At 47.2% G+C, this 21,745-nt stretch overlaps 1 long non-coding RNA gene across 1 annotated transcript, besides 1 other annotated feature; it reads left to right on the forward strand.

Annotated features, from left to right (window-relative positions):
- The first annotated feature begins 7,368 nt into the window (after positions 1 to 7,368).
- LOC105372475 (uncharacterized) lies at positions 7,369 to 11,691 on the forward strand. The gene is made up of 3 exons (XR_936111.2): positions 7,369 to 7,450; positions 9,530 to 9,642; positions 11,437 to 11,691. It is a non-coding gene; the product is annotated as an uncharacterized LOC105372475 (long non-coding RNA).
- Positions 9,012 to 9,306: an enhancer, noted in NCBI's record as "tiled region #3098; HepG2 Activating DNase matched - State 8:EnhW". NCBI's record gives its function as "activates a minimal TATA promoter and a strong SV40 promoter by Sharpr-MPRA in HepG2 cells {active_cell/tissue: HepG2}" and the evidence as "EXISTENCE:reporter gene assay evidence [ECO:0000049][PMID:27701403]".
- Positions 11,692 to 21,745: the final 10,054 nt, after the last annotated feature.

Here is a 21,745-nt window from a genome sequence, read left to right on the forward strand (position 1 = left end):
ACACAGCTACAGAAAAGGAACACAGGAGTGCTTAAGTTCCAAAATGGCATGATCTCTAAAATATATTTTTGTGAAAAAACAAGATACAAAACAATGGATTTAATGTGCCAAATTTTATACCACAGGGGAGAAATGTATAAGCACACCTCCTGTGTGTCCACAGACACCTCTGTTTTCTTGCTTGTATCATTGGTTGCCTCCAGGGAAGGAAACCAGGTGCCCACAAAACTGAGAAGAGAGTCTTCACGAAATCTCTTTCTAAACCTTTTAAATGTATCACCTATTCAGAAAATGAATGGAATTGAATTTACAATAAAAATAGCACTAAAATATAAAATAAAGTGGAAGGATCTGTTGTCCAGAGAGATAGAGACAGGGAGAGGGAGTGAGGCCTGTGCCAGGCTGTAGATGCAGTTGTTGTGATTGAGTTTTCTGGCGCCAGGCTCGTGGGCTGAAGCCCCAGCTCCACAAGTTACTAGCTGTGTGCTCTCAGGCAAGTTACTTAACCTCTCTGGGCCCGGGCCACCTCTGTAAATTAAGCATCATAAAATTACCCCCTTCATGTGGTTGTTAGGCAAATTAATGAATATGGTAAAATGCTTGAATACAGGGTCTGGCCCAGAGTAGGTTGTGTAATCATTTCTACAGCTACTTTTCTCCATCCCGGGCTGCTAATGACATCTGTATGATTAGCAGTACTCTGCGCTGAGCCCTGAGGATGCTGGGGAGGTAGTGATGCCCAAGGAGGAACTCTCCACCCCATAGCATAGGAATGGCCATACATCCTAGTAGGGTGAGGACTCCAGGCTGGGCCACTGCAGAGAAAGGCGCCAGCCCCAGTTAGGAAGACGTCTACACGATGTGTTGCCTGAGAAGAGTACACCAGCCTCTCTATGCCGAAGCCTGGTTCTACTCCATCCTGGCTACTGGACCTCAGATAAGAAGTCATTGAACTGCCCTGTGCCTCGGTTTCCCCATCTGGAACAACAGTATATTGATAGTGTCAACCTCGGAGAGCTGTTGTAAAGATCAAGTGAGATGATCCTATGAAACTCTCAGCACAGGCAGCTATTATTATTATTGCTGCTGTTGTTGTTGTTAAGGAGCGAGGCTCTGAGGAGTGGGTAAGGATAAGGTGGGTACAGATAAGCATGGGATGGTGCACGCGAGAAGCAAAGTTTAGTGTTTTTGGAAAGCAGAAAAGGGCTCAGCGAGTCAGTGTATTAATTTTCTAGAGCTGCCATCACAAAGCGCCACACACCAGGTGGCTTCTACAACCGAAATCAAATTTCTCATGGTCCTGGCAGCTGGAAGTCTGAGATCCACGCGTCAGCAGGATTGGCTTCTCCTGAGGCCTCTCCCCTTGGCTTGCAGACGCCATCTTTACCCTGGATACTCACGTGGTCGTCCCTCTGTGCGTGTCTGTATCCTAATCTCTTCCTATAAAGACGTCAATCATATTGCATGAGGCCTACCACCCTAACAACCTCATTTTACCTGAATTACCTCTTCAAGGACCCTATTTCAAAATACAGTCATATTTTGAGGGCCTGGGGGCGAGGACTTCAATATATGCATCTTGGAGGACACAGCCTCGCCTGTAACAGCCCCAAGCCCAGGAGGTGGGCTGGGCAGTGGTAAGAGGAGGCTGGAGGGTTTGGTAAAGGCTGGATCTGGGGGTCTATTTTACACCACAGTCAGCAGCCTGGCTTCCACCCTGAGTGCGGTAGGAGCCCCCATGGGTCACAGGAGGGCAGGGTCACACTCTGTGTCCAGGCAGGACGGCAATGGCTCCCTGTGGGCCCAACTGGATGCTAGAGGAGGCTGTGTGGAAATCCAGGCAAAGGCTGGAGACACGGCTGGGTCAGTGGGGTAGACAGGTCTGGGTGGAAGAGAGTTTGCACCCATGCCATCAACGCATGAGCATCTTGGCTTCCACCTCCCCTACTAGCAACAAAGCTCGTAAATGAGCTCGCACCCCTGCCTCTCCCCTCCGCTCCCCTTCTCCATGGGAGGAAAAGGGACTGGGTCTAATGCCGTTTCTTTCTCAAGCTCTGCCTGTGATTTCTTTCCTGTTGTAGATTTTAGACTAACTCTGTGGCGCCCTCTACTGACCAGGTGCGTCTCGCCCAGAGCGCTGTCCAGCCCCTTGAGGTCCAGTCCCGCGGTCTGAGGCCACCGTGACTACAGACGCTTGAAGAGGAGCTAGGGGAATTGAGGTGGGCTCAAAGGAAAAGCACACGCCGGATCTCAGAGACTTTGTTACCAAAAAGCACTGGAAAATATCTCGTTAACAGTGTTGTGCAATGGCTGCATGTTGATTACATCATCGTATTTTGAATATATTGGGCTAAATAAGATACAGTCTTTTTTTTTTTTTAGTCGGAGTCTTGCTCTGTCCCCCCAGGCTGAACTGCAGTGGTGCGATCTCGGCTCACTGCAGCCTCCTCCTCCCTGGTTCCAGCGATTCTCCTGCCTCAGCCTCCCGAGGAGCTGGGATTACAGGTGCACGCCACCACGCGCAGCTAATTTTTGTATTTTTAGTAGAGACAGGATTTCACCATGTTGGCCAGGCTGGTCTCGAGCTCCTGACCTCAAGTTGATCCACCCGCCTCAGCCTCCCAAAGTGCTGGGATTACAGGCATGAGCCACCACGCCTGGCCAAGATACAGTCTTCAAATTATTTTTACCTGTTCTTTTTTACTTTATTAACATAGGTACCAGAAAACTTTAAATGATATTTGTGACTCATATAATATTTCTTTATTTCCCCCTGCTTTAGACTATTATAAATGTAATGTATACATACCAGGGATTCGCAAATTCGGCACTATTGGCATTTGGGGCTGGATAACTCTTGGTGATGGCTCTGTGCTGTGCATTTGTGGGATGTTGAGCAGCAACCCTGGCTTCTACCTATGAAACGTGAGTGTCCCTGCCTCTCACCCAATTGTGACAACCAAAAATGCCTCCAGGCATTGCCAAATGTCCCCTGGGGCACAAAATCACTCCCAATCTAGAATCATTGAAATATATATGTATATGAAAAAGAGACATTGATGAAATGAAAAACCATGAACTCTAAGGACTTTTGACTCTTACAGAGCACCATCCTGTGTGAGCTCCGTGTTGCATGCCCACCTGTGTTTCCCTCTCAGTCCTCATAATGACCCTACAGGGTGGACATTATCATTATGCCCTTTTTGCAGATGAGGAAACTGAGGCACTGGGTGGTTAAGTGACTGGCCCTGAGGTGCACTGCTAATGGGTGGCCCAGCCCAGACCCAAATCCAGGCCACGTCCCCGGTGTAAGAGAGGCGAGCGTGTGCCTGGCACCTGCAGACCCACGGTGAGAACCCAGATCTCCACTGAGTGCCCCATCCCTGACGTGGAACCTGAGTCCTCCCTTTGGGGAGGAAGGTGAAGAAGTGGGTAGGAGTCACGATTAACTTTACCTCCCTTGGTGGCCAAAAGAAACCAGAAAATAAGCTCCATTCCAACCCCTTCCTGTGGAATTATGATAGAGCAGGAAAGCATAGCAGAGCACGGTGGCTCACACCTGTCATCCCAGCACTTTGGGAGGCTGAGGAGGGTGGATCACTTGAGGTCAGGAGTTCGAGACCTGACCTGGCCAACACAGTGAAACCCCATCTCTACTAAAAATACAAAAATTAGCCAGGCGTGGTGGTGTGCACCTGTAATCCCAGCTACAAGCAGGAGAATACCTTGAACACGGGAGGCAGAGGCTGTAGTGAGCCGAGATTGAGACACTGCACTCCAGCCTGGGAGACAGAGCAAGACTCCATCTCAAAAAAAAAAAAAAAAAGAACAGGAAAGCAGGAATCCATTCATTCATTCATTGCAGTCAGGTCGTGTGTATGGAGGCCCTGCTGTATGCCAAAGTCTATTGAAGGCAGTGAGAGTGCAGCCATGAAGAAAACAACACAGCTCTGCTCAGGAAACTCACCGACACTGAACAAGGATGGGGAATCACAGAAAAAGGAATTTAAAATTAATTAATTAATTAAAAAAAGGATTTCAGGCCTAGACAAGTTATTTGGAGAAAATAAGACAGAGAAATGACTAGCATGAGGACAGACGTGAAAGACTCCAGAAACATTTTTCTAAGGTGTCTCCCGGGAGTCACATGTTTAATCCGCATTGCGGGTGATTCTGCAGTGAGGGAGGGGGCTTAGGGCATCCTTGGCAAACCCTGCCTTGGACCCAGCCTGGGTTAGCCCCCCTAGGCCCATGGGGGGTTCAGGGTGGAGGAGAAGCAGCCTCCACCCAGACCCTCTTCTGTGTACCCAACCCCCAAGTCTTTAGGGAGTCCCCGCGGTGAGGCCAGGCTGGGATCTGAACCCGCAGGCATGCACAGGCTAAGCCCTGAGCCTAGAAAATTCCAGGCCCCGCATCCCTCCAGCATTGGCACAGCCCCTCCTCTTCTCCGCGGTTTCCATGGCAACAGCTGTCGCCAGGTGAGATCTCTCAGGGGACTGAGCCTCCCAGGAGCCAGGTGGGGATGGGGAGGGCTGGGCGCATTCATAGTCCACTCTTGACTTTGATGCAGTTAAACGCATCCTCAGACAGGGGTCTTTGCAGAACAGGGCAGAAAAACAGGCCTGTGCGGGTCTCTGCAGCCTCTGGTAGAAATCCCAGATCGCCAGAAATGACTAGTGACAGAAATGATATCTGTCCGCCCTTTCACTCCTTCATTCATTAAACCACTTAATTTTTGCATAAAGATCAATTCGATCAGTATAGATGATTAATATGAGAGTTTTATGAATCTATTAATGCTGTATCTATTTCGAGCTGCTGGCATTGTTCTAGGGAGACAGTATTGATGAAGAAAATACCTGCAGTGCTTCCTTAACAGGGTTGGCTTAGATGGGGCTGCCGCACAAAACACCGCGGACCCCGATATGTAATATGATGGCAGGCTTTGAAAAGTTCTGTGGAGACGAGTAAAGCAGCCCGTGTTGTTTGGGATTTAATTTCCTTCATTGTGAAGTGGTGATACATTCGCAGAGTCAAAATGACATTTTAAGATGTGATTTTAACTCTGCGACTGGAATAATTTCTGGGGAAACATTGTGTAATGAAAATTAAACCTCATGCCCTCATCCCAAGGCACCCGACACCCCTCCCGGAAGCCACGTCTGTTCCACGTTCCACATTCCTTCTTGAATAATTCTGAGCACACCGTATTGTCAGCTGCCCTCCCCACCATTTTATTTATTTTTATTTTTTAATTTTTTTTTTTTTGAGAGTTTTGCTCTTGTCATCCAGGCTGGAGTGCAATGGTGCAATCTTGGCTCACTGCAACCTCTACCTCCCAGGTTCAAGCGATTCTCCTGCCTCAGCCTCCTGAGTAGCTGGGACTAGAGGCACCTGCCACCATGCCCAGAAAATTTTTGTATTTTTAGTAGAGACGGGGTTTCACTATGTTGGCCAGGCTGGTCTCAAACTCCTGACCTCAGGTGATCCGCCTGCCTGGGCCTCCCAAAATGCCGAGATTACAGGTATGAGCCACCACGCCCGACCAGTCTGTGTATTTGTTTGTTTGTTTGTTTATTGAGACAGAGTTTCACTCTTGTTGCCCAGGCTGGAGTGCAATGGCACGATCTTGGCTCACCGCTGCCTCCCAGGTACAAGCAATTCTCCTGCCTCAGCCTCCCAAGTAGATGGGACTAGAGGCACCTGCCACCACACCCAGAAAATTTTTGTATTTTTAGTAGAGACGGGGTTTCACCATGTTGGCCAGGATGGTCTCGAACTCCTGACCTCACATGATCCGCCTGCCTCGGCCTCCCAAAGTGCTGGGATTACAGGCATAAGCCACCGCGCCCGGCCGGCATACTCACTTTTCATATACAATTAGAGCATCCCATTGTGTCATTGTCCTATAACTCATTTAACCTATCTCCTCCTCATGGATGTTCAGATTGTGTTCAATCTTTCATCATAACAAATGCTAATGCTGCTGCAGTGGATTACCACAGAAGCATGTTCCTTCACACATGCGTAAGTAAATCCGTACAATATATTTCTAGAAGTGGAATTTCTCAGTAAGAAAGTACAGGCATCCACATTTTGCTAAAGTGCCCACCATAAAGGTTGTTCCACGTTGCACGTCCACCAATAACATATGAAAATTCAAGCGCCATTGAAACCCATAAAATATGGATTTTCCCTTGAAAAATTAGAAGAGCTAACAACACTGGGTTTGATTTCAGCTTGGGAACAATTGGGTGGTGTCTGGTGGTACTGCCCACTTCAGCAAAACACACTCTCTCCCTTTTTTCCACACTCCCCACCCCTCCCTATTACTTCCCAATGCCCCCACTCTGTATCAGTGTCTGATTAGGATCATGCTTGAGGTGACCATTGCCATTTCATAGGTGACGTTACTTTACAACCTTGAGAATATTGAGGCCAAAAGAGTCACTTATTTGAAGAAAATGCCAGACCCTTTCCAACCAAAATGGTTGTGCCATTTTATACTCCCACCAACACTGTGTGCTCCTTCCAGCCACCCCACATCCTCACCAACATTTGATGTTGCTAATCTCTTCATTTTTACCGTTCTGGTGAGTGTGTCGTGGCAGAATCACTTATTTTAAGAAAAATAAAGGGCCAGGTGAGGTGGCTCACGCCTGTAATCCCAGCACTTTGGGAGGCCAGGGCAGGTGGATCACTTGACGTCAGGAGTTCAAGACCAGCCTGGCCAACATGATGAAACCCCGTCTCTACTAAAAGTACAAAAATTAGCCGGGGGTGGTGGCAGGTGCCTGTAATCTACTCAGGAGTCTGAGGCAGGAGAATCACTTGAACTAGGGAGGCGGAGCCTGCAGTGAGCTGAGATCGTGCCACCGCACTCCAACCTGGGTGACAGAGCGAGACCCTGTGTCAAAAAAAAAAAAAAAACAACTTGCATTTGGCCCGGGCGCGGTGGCCCACGCCTGTAATCCCAGCACTTTGGGAGGCAGAGGCGGGCGGATCATGAGGTCAGGAGATCGAGACCATCCTGACTCACCCAGTGAAACCTCGTCTCTACTATAAATACAAAAAATTAGCCGGGCTTGGTGGCGAGCGCCTGTAGTCCCAGCTACTGGGGAGGCTGAGGCAGGAGAATTGCTTGAACCCAGGAGGCGGAGGTTGCAGTGAGCTGAGATCGCGCCACTGCACTCCAGCCTGGGCGACAGAACGAGACTTTGTCTCAAAAAAAAAAAAAGAAAGAAAGAAAGAAAAAGAAAAGAAAAAAAAGAAAAATGAGCCAAGGAGGGGAGGCTGTATCTTTATGGAAATGGAGACATTCCACATTGTTGAATACACACAAGCCCCGCCCACTCTCTCCCCCTGCAGGACCTCCCCAGCCTCTGGGGTGGAAGTCTTTGCCTTGGGCTTCAGAAATGTCTGAGAACACGGGAGTGAGCTCTTCATCCAGGTAAGTCATGTCCCCACGGGTTGCTCCTCCCACTTTACTGTTCCCTTCCCTTGATTCTGGGTCTAGACAGAGACATTCTCTTACTACCTGGGGAGGTTGGGGCAGAGGTGGGTCCTTTACCTTCCAGAGTCTGGAGAGTAACCAGGATTTGCTTTTTTTTTTTTTTTTTTTTGTCGGAGTCTTGCTCAGTCACCCAGGCTGGAGTGCCATAATAGCTCACTGCAGCCTTCAACTCCTGTGCTCCAGCAATCTTCCCACCTCAGCATCCCGAGTAGCTGGGACTACAGGCACGTGCCACTACACCCGGCAAATTTTTTTTTTTTTTTTTAGATGGAGTCTCACTCTGTCACCCAGGCTGGAATGCAGTGGCACAATCTCGGCTCACTGCAACCTCTCCCTCCTGGGTTCAAGCGATTCTCCTGCCTCAGTCTCCCAAGTAGCTGGGACTACAGGCATGTACAGCTACGCCCGGCTAATTTTTTTTTCTCTTTCTTTCGTAGAGACAAGGTCTTCATATGTTGCCCAGGCTGGTCTCAAACTCCTGAGCTCAAGTGATCCTCCCATCTCTGCCTCCCAAAGTGCTGGAATGACAGGCATGAGTCACCTCACTCATTTTTGCATTTTCAATCATCCATCTCCCTAATCCTCCCCATTTGATGCAAGTGAAGTTGGGGACACATTGAAAAAAAAATCCTGGCTATGCTGTGGCAGGCATAGTGCCCAGTGATTCACAAGCAGCTTCCCACTGTCATCCTCACCACAACCTACAGATTCAAAAAAAAAAATGTTTACCCAGTTTTAGATGAGAAAACAGGCTCAGAAAAGTGAAGTCACTTTCCCATGATTCCGTACTTTATTTTGTTTTGTTTTGTTTTACTTTATTTTTTGAGACAGAGTCTCACTCTGTTGCCCAGCCTGGAGTGCAGTGGCACAATCTTGGCTCACTGCAACCTCCACCTCCCAGGTTCAAGCAATTCTCCTGCCTCAGCCTCCCAAGTAGCTGGAATTACAGGCACCCTCCACCACACCCCGCTAATTTCTGTATTTTTAGTAGAGACAGGGTTTCACCATGTTGGCCAGGCCGGTCTTGAACTCCCGACCTCAGATGATCCTCCTGCCTCGGCCTCCCAACGTGCTGAGATTACAGGCATGACCCGCCATGCCCAGCTGTATTTTCATTCACGCTCCTAACACACACACACACACACACACACACACACACACAAATCATTATAGGCACTCATTCATATGGCAGCTCAGGATTCTAACCCACACACAGCCTGGAAAGTTCCATCCTCTGAGTGCCTCTCAGCCTCCTCCCCATCTCCTCGATGCAGTTTCCATAGCAACAGGCAGAGCCTGCCTGCATCCCAGACCCCCAGCGAAGGCTGCTAAGGACCAGGGCAGGGCGATGGGGGAGAAGCCGAGCAGGGGGAGGGAGCAGGCCTACTGTACCCCATCGGAGATTCAGGTTGGGCATATTAAAACTTAAAATGTGCACATTTAAAATGATGTCCTTGACGAAGGGCAAAACCCAGCCATGTGTGCTTTGCCAACAGGCGTGGAAATCACAGGTTTCTGTTCCGTGGCAGCCGCCAGCACCGATGATACAAACAGCCTTTGTTGTCTAAAGATTAGTCATTTGATTGACTGATTATACCAACAAATATTTGTTGATTGCCTACTGTTTGCCAGACCTTGTGCGAGGCGGCAGCATCCAACACAGATGTAGTCTTTGTTCTCATTGGAGTTGACAACTTATTGAGACAGATAATAAATAGATATTGAAGTGGATATAGCTATAGAGCTAGGGCTGGAGACTGAGGAAAGAAAAGAACTTCTGTCTGAGGAATGTGAGGGCTTTCAAATGATCGGGGCCGGAGAAGCATTAAAATGACGCAGCAGTCACACCCTACTCCCAGCTTTCAGAATCTCTTGAAACTGCTTGCTATTGCCATAAGTAGCTGCAAATTAAACAGTCCCCAGTGGGACACTAAAACCCATACCCTATAGCTTAACAATTGTCAGCAGTAAAAACCAGATTCTGCCAAATATTTAAAGAGGTTTATTGTGAACCAGGATGAGTGACCGAAGCCTGGGGTTACACAGTCTCCAGAGGTCCTGAGGAGGTGCGCCTGAGGTGGTCATGTTCCGGTTTGGTTGCACACATTTCGAGGAGACAGGAATTGCAGGTAAAATCATAAATCAATACACTGAGGGTATACATGAGCTCGGCCTGAACCCGTGGACATCTTGAAGTCAGGGGCTTACAAGTCATAGTAGGTTTTAAAGATTCTTTTTTCTCACTCCTTCCTGCATACTGAAAACGTTTCTTGAGGTGTGTGTGTGTGTGTGTGTGTGTGTGTGTGTGTGTGTGTGTGTGTTTTGACACAGTTCTCACTCTGTTGTGCAGTGGCATGACCATGGCTCACTGCAGCCTTGACCTCTCAGGCTCAACTGATCCTCCCGGCTCAGCCTCCCAAGTAGCTGGGACCACAGATATGCACCACCACCCCCGCCTAATTTTATTTTACTTTTTGTAGAGACGGGTTCTCGTTGTGTTGCCCAGGCTGGTCTCAAACTTCTGGGCTCAAGCAATCTGCCTGCCTCAGCTTCCCAAAGTGGTGGGATTATAAGTGTGAGCCACTGAGTCCAGCCTTAAGGATTCTTTAGTTGGCAATTTGAAAGAGTTACACTTTGTTTAAAGCAACTCAGTAGAAAGAAATGCTGAAGTTAAGGGGGTCTGGTCTCCATCACACGATGCTATACCAGAGATGGGTTGGAAGTCAGCCACCTGATACTGCGTTAATAAAAGAACCTGCTTAACAAGATTTTATGGTTTGTAGAGTGTGACTACCTGGGCCACCTAGATAGGAATTTAGGTAAGAGAGAAAAAGGTCGCAGAGTCCTCACAATGCACACCTAATCACTAACCAATGTTATTTCTGTAAATTGTAAACAAAAAAATAAAATTCTAAGCCCCCCAACCTACTGATGGACCCTCCCCTCAGCCAGGGGCATTCCAAAGTTAACCTGAGGCTGGGTGCAGTGGCTCATGCCTGTAATCCCAGCACTTTGGGAGGCCAAGGCAGGAGGATCACCTGAGGTCAGGAGTTCAAGACCAACCTGGCCAACATGGTGAAACCCTGTCTCTACTAAAAATACAAAAATTAGCTGGGCATGGTGGCACACACCTGTAATCCCAGCTACTCGGGAGGCTGAGGCAGGAGAATTGCTTGAACCCAGGAGGCAAAGGCTGCAGTGAGCTGAGATCGCGCCATTGCACTCCAGCCTGAGTGACAGAGTGAGACGCCATCTCAAAAAAAAAAATCCACTTGTGGCTGGGTGCGGTGGCTCATACCTGTCATCCCAGCACTTTGGGAGGTCGAGGCGGGTGGATCATTTGAGGTCAGGAGTTCCAGACCAGCCTGACCAATATGGTAAAACCCCATCTCTACTAAAAACACAAAAATTAGCCAGCATGGCAGCATGCACCTGTAGTCCCACCTACTTGGGGGGCTGAGACAGGAGAATTCCTCGAAGCTGGAAGACAGAGGTTACAGTGAGCCGAGGCAACAGGGCAAGACACCATCTCAAAATACATAAATAAATAATAAAAATAAATAAAAATTAAAATTCACTTGTAACTGCTGCTAATCAGAGTGTGAATCAGGGGAAGTCAAATCTGTGCTCTTGGGTTGTAATCCTCAAGCTTGGCCCAAATAAACTCTTAAATTAGTTTTGCCTCAGCTTCTTCCTTTTAGGTTGAAAGGATAGAGACACACACATATATGCATACGTATTTTACCATAATCTATATGTACATAGGTAGCACCATATAGAACAAAATTTTTTGTAGTTTTGTCTTTTGACATTGGAAAGCACAGCTCTAAAAACTACTAAGAAAAAATATATCAGGATAAAAATAAAAAGAGCAGCAGATTGTGACGGTGAATGAATACTTTGCACAAAATATTTTGTTTCAGGACGTCCAGGTCGTAGCCAGGAATTGACATTTCGACAAGCCCCTACCTGAACCAGGTGACCACCTTGGTAGCAGACCCCAGGCAGGCAGGCAGGCAGGGAGTCCTCAGATCCTCCCAACAGCCCTGCTAGCTAAGGATGGTGATCACACCTGCTGCAGAAGAGTGGACCGAGGCTTCAGAGGGGAAAGCAGTGACCAAAGATCAGATTGTGCCTCTCCATCTCTTCCCAAATAATAAATACAGGTATTTATTGTACCCCTGCTCTGTGCCCACACGGGGCTTTTACATCCACGCATTCTGTGCTCAAGGGCATGGAAAATTCCAGCCTGAAAGCCTTGCTTGCCCCATCCTGTCCCCCACACTGCAGTGGTTTCCATAGCAACAGTCTTGGTCGCAAACATCCCTTGAGTCCCCTGAAGGGGAGGAGGAGTGGTTGATGTCAGAATAGCCTGGGCTGAGGGTGGTGGGACAAGGGGAAGGATTGAATTCTGCAATTCCCACCCCACCCCATATTCCTGGTTCACTCAAGCCTTTAGGGTTCATTCAAGGTCTCCTTGAATGGGGTTTTCGTAGAAGAACGAAAAAGGACCTGGGCATGCAAGTGGCTGCTGGCTCAAAAAAACCAAACAAATAGAAATCCCAGGTTCTCCATGGAGCAGCTGCCGCAGGTGCCTGTGACACCCCCAGCATCTATGCCCACCTTTCAGTCGCGCCTCATTCCTCCTCCAACACAAGTTGACAGAGAGCATATTATGTGCCAGGGATAATGTTAGGCACTTGAGCATAATTTCAAAAACCTGCTATGATGAATAAAAACTGGTCTCCAAAAGCCTCAAGTGTCTCCCCAAAAAAACACAAATGCATGAGGTCCTCTTATTCTCATTTCAAAAGATGTGGGGACCCTGTTTTCTGGCACGTGGGAACCCCAAACACCTGGAGGAACTAAGAGGAAATGAATGAAACTCAAGACTCAACCATCACCCAGGACCCAAATTACATTACTTTTGAGCTCAGCAGAGTGGGGAAAGGTGGCCAGTGGAGACCGTTAAGGGAGACACATTCAGAAATTAACTGCTGTTGATTGCAAGATGCTGCGATGATTCAACCCAACTCAAAAATCTCAGGACATGTGCTTCCCAGTTGAACTTTTGATGGTTGGAGAGATTCTCAGTAATTGTGTATGGCAGAAAAAGAAGCATATGGTATATGGAACACACAGCACTGAACATCTGCTTGAGCAAATGTTTGTTTCTTTTTTCTTTTCCATGAAACTGCATAAACTGTCAACGTTTTATTCTAATGATTATGGGCCTTTTCATGGGTTATGTTTTTTTCAAAAGCATGCCCATCCTGGCTCTAAAATATCACGGTCCTCAACAGATGGTGGCAGTTTAGAAGGGAGCGTTTGTGCAAAAGGCCATGGAGAATAAACTTAAGGTGTTTGTCTTCAGAGAGAGAACACAGGCTGAAGAATTAAAAGAGAATGACAAAAACCCACACAGATAGGTGTTCTGAAATATAGGCCAGGTGCAGTGGCTCACACCTGTAATCCATGCACTTTGGGAGGCCCAGGTGGGTGGATCACCTGAGGTCAGGAGTTCGAGACTAGACTAGTCAACATGGTGAAACCCTGTCTCTAACAAAAAATACAAAAAAAAAAAAAAATTAGCCAGGCGTGGTCGTATGTGTCTGTAATCCCAGCTACTCAGGAGGCTGAGGCAGGAGAATCACTTGAACCTGGGAAGTGGAGGTCGCAGTGAGCCGAGATTGCACCACTGCACACCAGCCTGGGCAGCAGAGCAAGAGAAAGATCGTGCCACTGCACTCCAGCCTGAGCGAAAGAAAGAAGGAAGGAAGGAGGGAAGGAAGGAAGGAAGGAAGGAAGGAAGGAAGGAAGGAAGGAAGGAAGGAAGGAAGGAAGGATAAAAGAAATATACAGGGTATAGGGGAGTTAGCACCAGCCTGGGCCACATTATTTATTCCTTCTGGCATCCCTCTGCCTGGTCACAAGCAAACTTAAAACATTGCCAGCTCTGTGTTTTAATAATACCATGTCTTGTAATAGCAAATGACTGGGGAAAAAACCTCAATTTCCCTCCAGAGGGGGCTGGCCAACTAAGTTCTGATAAATGCATTCGATGGAATGTTATGCAACTGTGTAAAATTCTGAAGAAGTTCTTTAGGGGCTGAACAAGCAGAATATACAGTGAAAGGATATATAATAATGAAAAGGGTTGCTATGATTGTGTAAAAGGAGGAAAAGAGAAATAATTACATTGACTTGGTCCAGAAGGAACCTGAACTGTAAATCACAGTTCCATGAGGCAAGGGGGTCAGATTTTGTAGCCCCTAACATCAAACATTGGCTGCCCCCAATTGTGGGGAGAGATGAGGTAACCTCCCGGGTGTCTGTGGATGAGGTGGTTCCAGGGGCAGCTCTTCAGAGGACAAGGTCATTAGCTGCGCCTCACCCACACTGCCTGCCCAAGTGGGGTTGGGGCATCCCTGTGTATGTGCTTTCAGAATTTCAAACTTCCTTCCCCATGAACGGAGTCCTGTATTTCATCCGATGGACGATGCTGTCCACTGTGGAGGCACCATTATTTCCTAGCCAGGAAGAACAATAAAGCATGGTCAATTAATGCAACTGACTGTAAAAGGCAGCCCAATTCCTGAGACTGTGTAATGAGTGGAAAAAAGTGAGCAAAGTGGGGAAGAAAGCAAAAGCATCTTAAAGTGAAAAACATGCATTAGCTGTCGTAAACAAACACACACAATGCCCAGGGCACTCCTCCCACAGTGGAGCACTCACTAAATGAATGAATGACAGGCCCTACCACACCCCAACACACACACACAATCTACCCAGTGTGGGGGGGCTCTTCCCCAGAACTCCTCCCACAGTGGAGCACTCACTAAATGAATGAATGACAGGCCCTACCGCACCCCAACACACACATACAATCTACCCAGTGGGTGGTGCTTACTGCTCAGCTGAGTACTGCTAAAAATTGCCGACAAGACTTACTCTCTGGGTGATTTGATGAAATCCTTGATGCCAGGGGGACCACTGAGTTTAACGGGCGTCTAATCTCCTCACACACCCCCATCCATGTCAAATGGGAGGCCAGGCAGGGCACAGTGGCTCATGCCTATAATCCCAGCACTTTAGGAGGCTGAGGCAGGAGGATCACTTGAGGCCTCAAGTGACCAGGAGTTCGAGACCAGCCTGGGCAACACAGCAAGACCCCACCTCCACAAATAATTTTAAAAATTAGCCAGGCATGGTGGTGCCTGCCTGTGGTTCTAGCTACTTGGGAAGCTGAAGTGGGAGGATCGCTTGAGCCCAGAAGTTGGAGGCTGCAGTGAGCTAGGATGGAGCCACTGCATTCCGGCCAGGGTGACATGGTGAAACCCTGTCTCAAATAATAATAATAAAATATAAAAGGGAGGCCAACAGGCTCTGGCAGAGACCTTCTGGGCAACTCCACCAAGAAATCAAGTCCCCATCTCCAGAAACCCCACTTTGAGGTCCAGCTCATGGCTTAGCTGCAGGCGAGATAGGATAGACAAAGAGACCATGTGAGTCAGGGTCCTCTGGAGACATAGAAGCAACGGGACATTCATTCATTCATTCATTCATTCATTCTCAGGAATTGGCTCTTGCGATTACAGAGGCTGAGAAATCCAGACCCAAGAGGGCCAGTGGTGTAAATTCCAGTATGAATCTTCATCCCAAGGCAGAGGCAGTCTGAGGTCCCAACTCATGCAGTCAGGAAGAGAGGAAGGATCCTTTCTCACTCAGCTTTTTGTTTTATGCAGGCTTTTGACTGATGAGACAAGGCCCACCCACACTGTGTAGGGCCATCTGTTTTAGTCAGGGTATAGATTTGAATGCCAAACTCAACCAGAAACATCCTCACAGACACCCCAGAAATGATGCCTAGCCAATATCTGGGCACCCTGTGGTCCAGTCAAGTTGACACAATAAATTAACCATCACAGATACTTTTTCATACATTTTATTATTGTACTAAATATTCTTTTGATAAATTTGGAATTTAGGGTAGGTTGAAGACTGTGAGGAGGGAGTAGAGTGGGGAAAAGGAGGATTTGAGGTAAGATATGGTTTTGGGGGCAAGATGATATAAACTTTTATTTTGCAAAAATTTCAAATTTATAAAAGCAATTTCAGGAATGATGCAAATAACTCCCATTTAACCTTCACCCACATTCACCAATTGATAACATTTTGCCACATTTTCTATCTCTCTCTCACTCTTTTTTTTTTTTTGAGATGGAGTCTTGCTCTGTCTCCCAGGCTGGAGTGCAGTGGTGAGATCTTGGCTCACTGCAACCTCTGCCTCCCAGGTTCAAGCAATTCTCCTGCCTCAGCCTCCGAGTAACTGGGATAACAGGCGTGCACCACCAAGCCCAGCTAATTTTTGTATTTTTAGTAGAGATAGGGTTTCAACGTGTTGGCCAGGCTGGTCTCGAACCCCTGACCTCATGTGATCCGCCCACCTCTGCCTCCCAAAGTGCTGGGATTATAGGCATGAGCCACCACACCCGACCTCTCTCACTCTTTTTCTATCTCTTTAGTGTAAGTTGCAGATATCATACCCCTCTGCTCCTAAATTTTTCCGTGTATATTTTCTAAGAATAAAGGCATTCTTTTTTCATAGCCACAGTACAATGATTACATTGAGAAAATTTAATATTGGCTGGGTGTGGTGGCTCACGCCTGTAATCCCAGCACTTTGGGAGGCTGAGGAAGGCAGATCACAAGGTCAGGAGATTGGCTAACATGGTGAAAGCCCATCTCTACTAAAAATACAAAAAATTAGCCAGGCATGGTGGCAGGCACCTGTAGTCCCAGCTGCTGGGGAGGCTGAGGCAGGACAATGGCGTGAACACGGGAGGCGGAGCTTGCAGTGAGCCGAGATGGCGCCACTGCACTCCAGCCTGGGCAACAGAGTGAGACTCTGTTATATATTATTATATAATAATAATAATATTGAGGCATTATATTCATTTTATGCATAGCCCATGTTCACACACAAATTATTCCAACAACTTACTTGATAGCATTTTCCCCCAATCCTGGATCAAACCCACCGCTTGTTTAAAGTGGTGTCTGGCACTGTGAAGTTATTTCCCCTCGGGATTAATTGTCTGTGGAAACTGCTTTGAGGCTATGGACGGCTCCTGCGTCTTCTCATGCTTGTGCCCACGAGGCCTAGGATCCTTTGATGGTTCTTAGATGCTTTGATGGTCCTGGATCAGATCCAGGATGATGCATTCTGTTTAGCCATCTTGTCTCTTGAGTCTTTCTAAATCTGGATTTGAAACCTCAGCTGTTCCTCATCTTCCCGACACTGGCGTTTTTGAGGAATACAGAGATTCCGGAGAAGGTCTCCACAATCCAGGTCATTTGTCTGATGCTTCCCTGTTCTTTATTTCAGATTTGCATTTTGGTTCACCAGTGACTTTTTTCTTTCTCGGCACTATGTTCAACTCGTGATGACAGTTGGTTCCAATGGTGGTGATGTCAGCTTTGATCTCTTGTTAAATGTGGCGTCTGCCACTGTGAGGCTCATTTCCCCTTGTAACTAGTCATCTGTGGGGAACTCCCATGAAATGACAATGCCCTGCTTCTGCTCATGCTCATGTCCACGGGGTCTAGGGTCTAGGGCCCTTTAATAATTCTCTCTCTCTCCTTTTTTTTTTTTTTTTCTGGAGACAAAGTTTCTCTCTGTCACCCAGGCTGGGCTGCAATGGTGCGATCTTGGCTCAACCTCCACCTGCCCGGTTCAAGTGATTCTCGTTCCTCAGCTGCCCAAGTAGCTGAGATTACAAGCACCTGCCACCATGCCCAGCTAATTTTGTATTTTTAGTAGAGACGGGGTTTCACCATGTTGGCTGGGCTGATCTCAATCTCTTGACCTTATGATCCGTCCACCTCAGCCTCCCAAAGTGCTGGGATTACAGGCGTGATCTCTCTCTATTTTTTAGGAGACAGGTCTCACTCTGTCACCCAGGCTGGAATGCAGTGAGTTCGTGATCATTGCTCATCGTAACCTCAAACTCCTGGGCTCCAGTGATCCTCCCACCTTCCCTCCCTAGTAGCTGGGACTACAGGTGTGCACCACCACACCCAAGCTATTAAAAAAAATTGTAGAGATGGGGTCTCGCTATGTTGCCCAGGCTGGCCTCAAACTCCTGGGCTCAAGTAATCCTCCCATCTCAGCTTCCCAAAGTTTTCCAATTACAGTCATGAGCCACTGTGCCCTGCCCTTTAATAATTCTTGCTTGAAATAGTTAATACTGTGGTGGTTGCTAGGTGCTAAGTTTCTAACTCAACTCCTCCTTCTGTATTTATTTGTTGGAATTCTTAGCCAGAATTTAGCTTTTGCTGCCCAGGCTGGAGTGCAGTGGTGCAATCTCCACCCACTACAATCTCCACCTCCCGAGTTCAAGCGATTCTCCTGCCATAGCCTCCCAAGTAGCTGGGATTACAGGCGTGAGCCACCATGCCTGACTAATTTTTGTATTTTTAGTAGAGACGGGGTTTCACCATGTTGGCCAGGCTGGTCTCGATCTCCTGACCTCAGGTGATCCGCCCTCCTCAGCCTCCCAAAGTGCTGGGATTACAGGCGTGAGCCACTGCGCCCGGCCTGTTGGAATTCTTCTGTGAGGCTCTGCTTCCTTTTCTCACACATTTATTGATTCAGTGTTGATTTTAGGGATTCTGACTTTAGTTTATGGGTTATAATTTATTACGAGCAGAATTTATTTTCACTGAAACTGTTCTGGTTTTGAAGTGGGAATCCCTTCAAGCTGGCTGCTGTATCTTTTAGACATTTTTTTAAAAGCTCTTCTTACTTTCAGGTACAATAAGACGTTCCAGTCTCCTACTGTCCTTTCCCTGCCCAGCCCAGCAATCAGCCACTTCTCCAAGGAGCCCTGGCTCCCCTGAGTGGAGAATCACATTTAGAAACCAGCATCTGAGCTCTAAGCGTGCTGTCTCATAAGCTATGTTTGGGAAAGTAGGCTTTATCCTGAAGACAGCAAAGTTTTAACTAGAGGAGTGATATAATCATTATCTGCATTTTTAAAAACTTATTTATTTATTTATTTAGAGACGGAGTCGCCCAGGTTGGAGTGCAGTGGCGCGATCTCAGCTCACTGCAACCTCCGCCTCCCAGGTTCAAGCGATTCTCCTGCCTCAGCCTCCTGAGTAGCTGGGATTACAGGCACCCGCCACCATGCCCAGCTAATTTTGTGTATTTTTAGTAGAGGTAGGGTTTCACCATATTGGCCAAGCTGATCTCAAACTCCTGAGCTCAGGTGATCTGCCCGCCTTGGCCTCCCAAAGTGCTGGGATAACAGGCGTGAGCCACCACGCCTGGTCATTACCTGCATTTCTAAAAGATGACTCCAGCAGCTAATGTGGAAAATGGATTGGAGAGCCCAGTGTTTCCAGAAATACAGCCCTTCAAGATCAGTCATTTTTCAACAACATGGATGACCCTGGAGAACATTATGCCAAGTGAGATAAGTCAGTCACAGGACAAATACCACATGATCTCCCTTCTATGTGGAATCCAAAAGGTTGAACCCATAGCAACAGAGAGTGGAACTGTGGTTACCTGAGACTGGGAGATGGGGCGGGTTGAGGAGATGTTGGTTAAAGGGTGCAAAATTTCAGTTAGGAGGAATAAGTTCAAGAAATCTATTATACAACATGGTGCCTATAGTTAAAAACAATGTTTTGCATTCTTGAAAATTACTAAGCGAGTAGATTTTTTTTTGTTCCCTATATCTTAGTGCTCAGAAGAAAGCAGATTTTAAGTGTTCTCACCACACATAAGAAAATGACAAGTACGTGCGGTAATGCATACATTAAATAGCTTGACATGGTCATCCCACAACGTCCACATATATCAAAACATAATGGTTGTACCCCATAAATATGCGCAATTTTTATTTGTCAATTAAAAATAAATAATAAAAGGAAATTAAAATTGTATTTAAATAAAATTTTATTTTATTAAAAATATGAATATATGGCACTTCATGTCCCATCTTGACGAATTTTGCCGTATTGGTGTCTTTACTAGGATATTAGACACAATATTTTTTCCTTTAAAATCAGTCTCTGTGATGAAGGGAATTTAAGAATCACTATCATGAATGGAAACACTGGTTTCACTTACCATAAGTGGAAAATAAAAATAGACACAAGAGAAAAAGCTCACAAAAATGTGTGTGTGTGTATATATACACATTTTTAATATATATATACACATTTTATATATATATACACATTATATTAGATATGTATATATATATTAGACAGGGTATCACTCCAATACCCAGGCAGGAGTGCAGTGGTACCATCATAGCTCACTGCAGCCTCGACTTCCTGGGATCAAGCAATCCTCTCACCTCAGCTTCCCAAGGAGCTGGGACCACAGGTGTGCACCACCACGCTGGGCTGATTCTTTTAAAATTTTTTGTAGAGTTAGGCTCTCGCTATGTTGCCCAGACTGGTTTCAAACTCCTGAGCTCATGCGATCCTCCCACCTCAGCCTCCCAAAGTGCTGGGTTTATAGATATGAACCACCTCACCTAGCCAAAAATATCTTTTAATATTGATTATATACTGCTGCCAGCCAAGGTTCTGAGCCCAAGACCTCTTTTGATTTTGTGGAGTTTTTTTTAAATTTTGTTTCATTTTGTTTTGGTTCACAGAAGATGTTGGCAATACCGTTAAAGACGTTCAAACCACACCAAGACATTATCCTTTATGAAACACAAAGGTTCAAAACATACTGAAAAGGGGCCGGGCGCGGTGGCTCATGACTGTAATCCCAGCATTTTGGAAGGCTGAGGCAGGCGGGTCACCTAAGGTCAGGAGTTGGAGATCAGCCTGGCCAACATGGTGAAACCCCGTCTCTACCAACAATACAAATATTAGCCAGGCGTGGTGGCGGGCACTTGTAGTCCCAGCTATTCGGGAGGCTGAGGCAGGAGAATTGCTTAAACCCGGGAGGCGGAGGTTTCAGTGAGTGGAGATTGTACCACTACACTCCAGCCTGGGTGACAGAGCGAGACTCTGTCTCAAAAAAAGAGAAGAGAGGGGAGAGGGGGAGGGGGGAAGGGAGAGAAGAGGAGAGGAGAGGAGAGGAGAGGAGAGGAGAGGAGGGGAGGGGAGGGGAGGAGAGGAGAGGAGAGGAGAAGAGAAGAGAAGAGAAGAGAAGAGAAGAGAAGAGAAGAGAAGAGAAGAGAAGAGAAGAGAAGAGAAGAGAGGAAGAAACTGGAAAGGGTTTCTTTGTTCTTTTGTGATTTGAGCATGACTTTTTTTTTTTTTTGAGATGGAGTTTTGTTCTTGTTGCTCAGGCTAGAGTGCAATGGTGCGACCTCTGCTCACCACAACCTCCACCTCCTAGGTTCAAGCAATTCTTCTGCCTCAGCCTCCCGAGTAGCTGGGATTACAGGCATGCACCACTAGGCTCAGCTCATTTTGTATTTTTAGTAGAGACAGTGTTTCTCCGTGTTGGTCAGGCTGGTCTCAAATTCCCGACCTCAGGTGATCCACCCGCCTCAGCCCCCGAAAGTATTGGGATTACAGGCATGAGCCACCACACCCGGCGATTCAAGCATGACTTAACGCCATCTGTCTGGCATCTTAATTTAATCACTTGAGAGCAGCCATGGGGATAGGTCACATCCTGGAAAGAGGTGCAAAGGCAAGTTAATAATTCAGTGAGTCATTCAGTCCCGAATGTGAGCAGAGAGAGGGGGCAACGTGGAGGGAGCTGCAGGCAGCTCTTGGGAAGGTGAAGTCCACAGGACCTGGGATGGGATTGGACGCTTAGGCGAGCAGGTGAGCAGGAGGGACTTGGACCTGAGTAACTTGGTAGGTGAGGGTGGCCTTTGGAGGCAGGCAGGGCAGGGAATCTGGGTGGGATCCTGGGAGGTGTCCATGGTCATCCTCGGGGTGCAATGGTGGGCTGGACCCGGGAGAAGGCAAATGGTTTGGAGAACAGGCTGAACAGGTTTTTTAGTGGAGGAAGACAATACGACTTGGGTAGAGCTTGATAAAGACAGAAGGGTTAGAAGCTCATTTCTTCGTGAGCATGCGTGCAGGGAAAACAAGCCATGAGGAGTTGACACAAGTTTCAGTGGCTGCTCAGAACCTCTGCCCTCCAGACCCCACGGAATTTCCAGAGTGGGGCAGTGCGTACATCCCTGTAATCGAGGAAGGCCGCAGGACAGTGGAGGCGCCATCTCCACACCTAAA

The sequence above is a fragment of the Homo sapiens genome, chromosome 19 (genome assembly GCF_000001405.40).
Source record: "Homo sapiens chromosome 19, GRCh38.p14 Primary Assembly".
Lineage (NCBI taxonomy): Eukaryota > Metazoa > Chordata > Mammalia > Primates > Hominidae > Homo > Homo sapiens.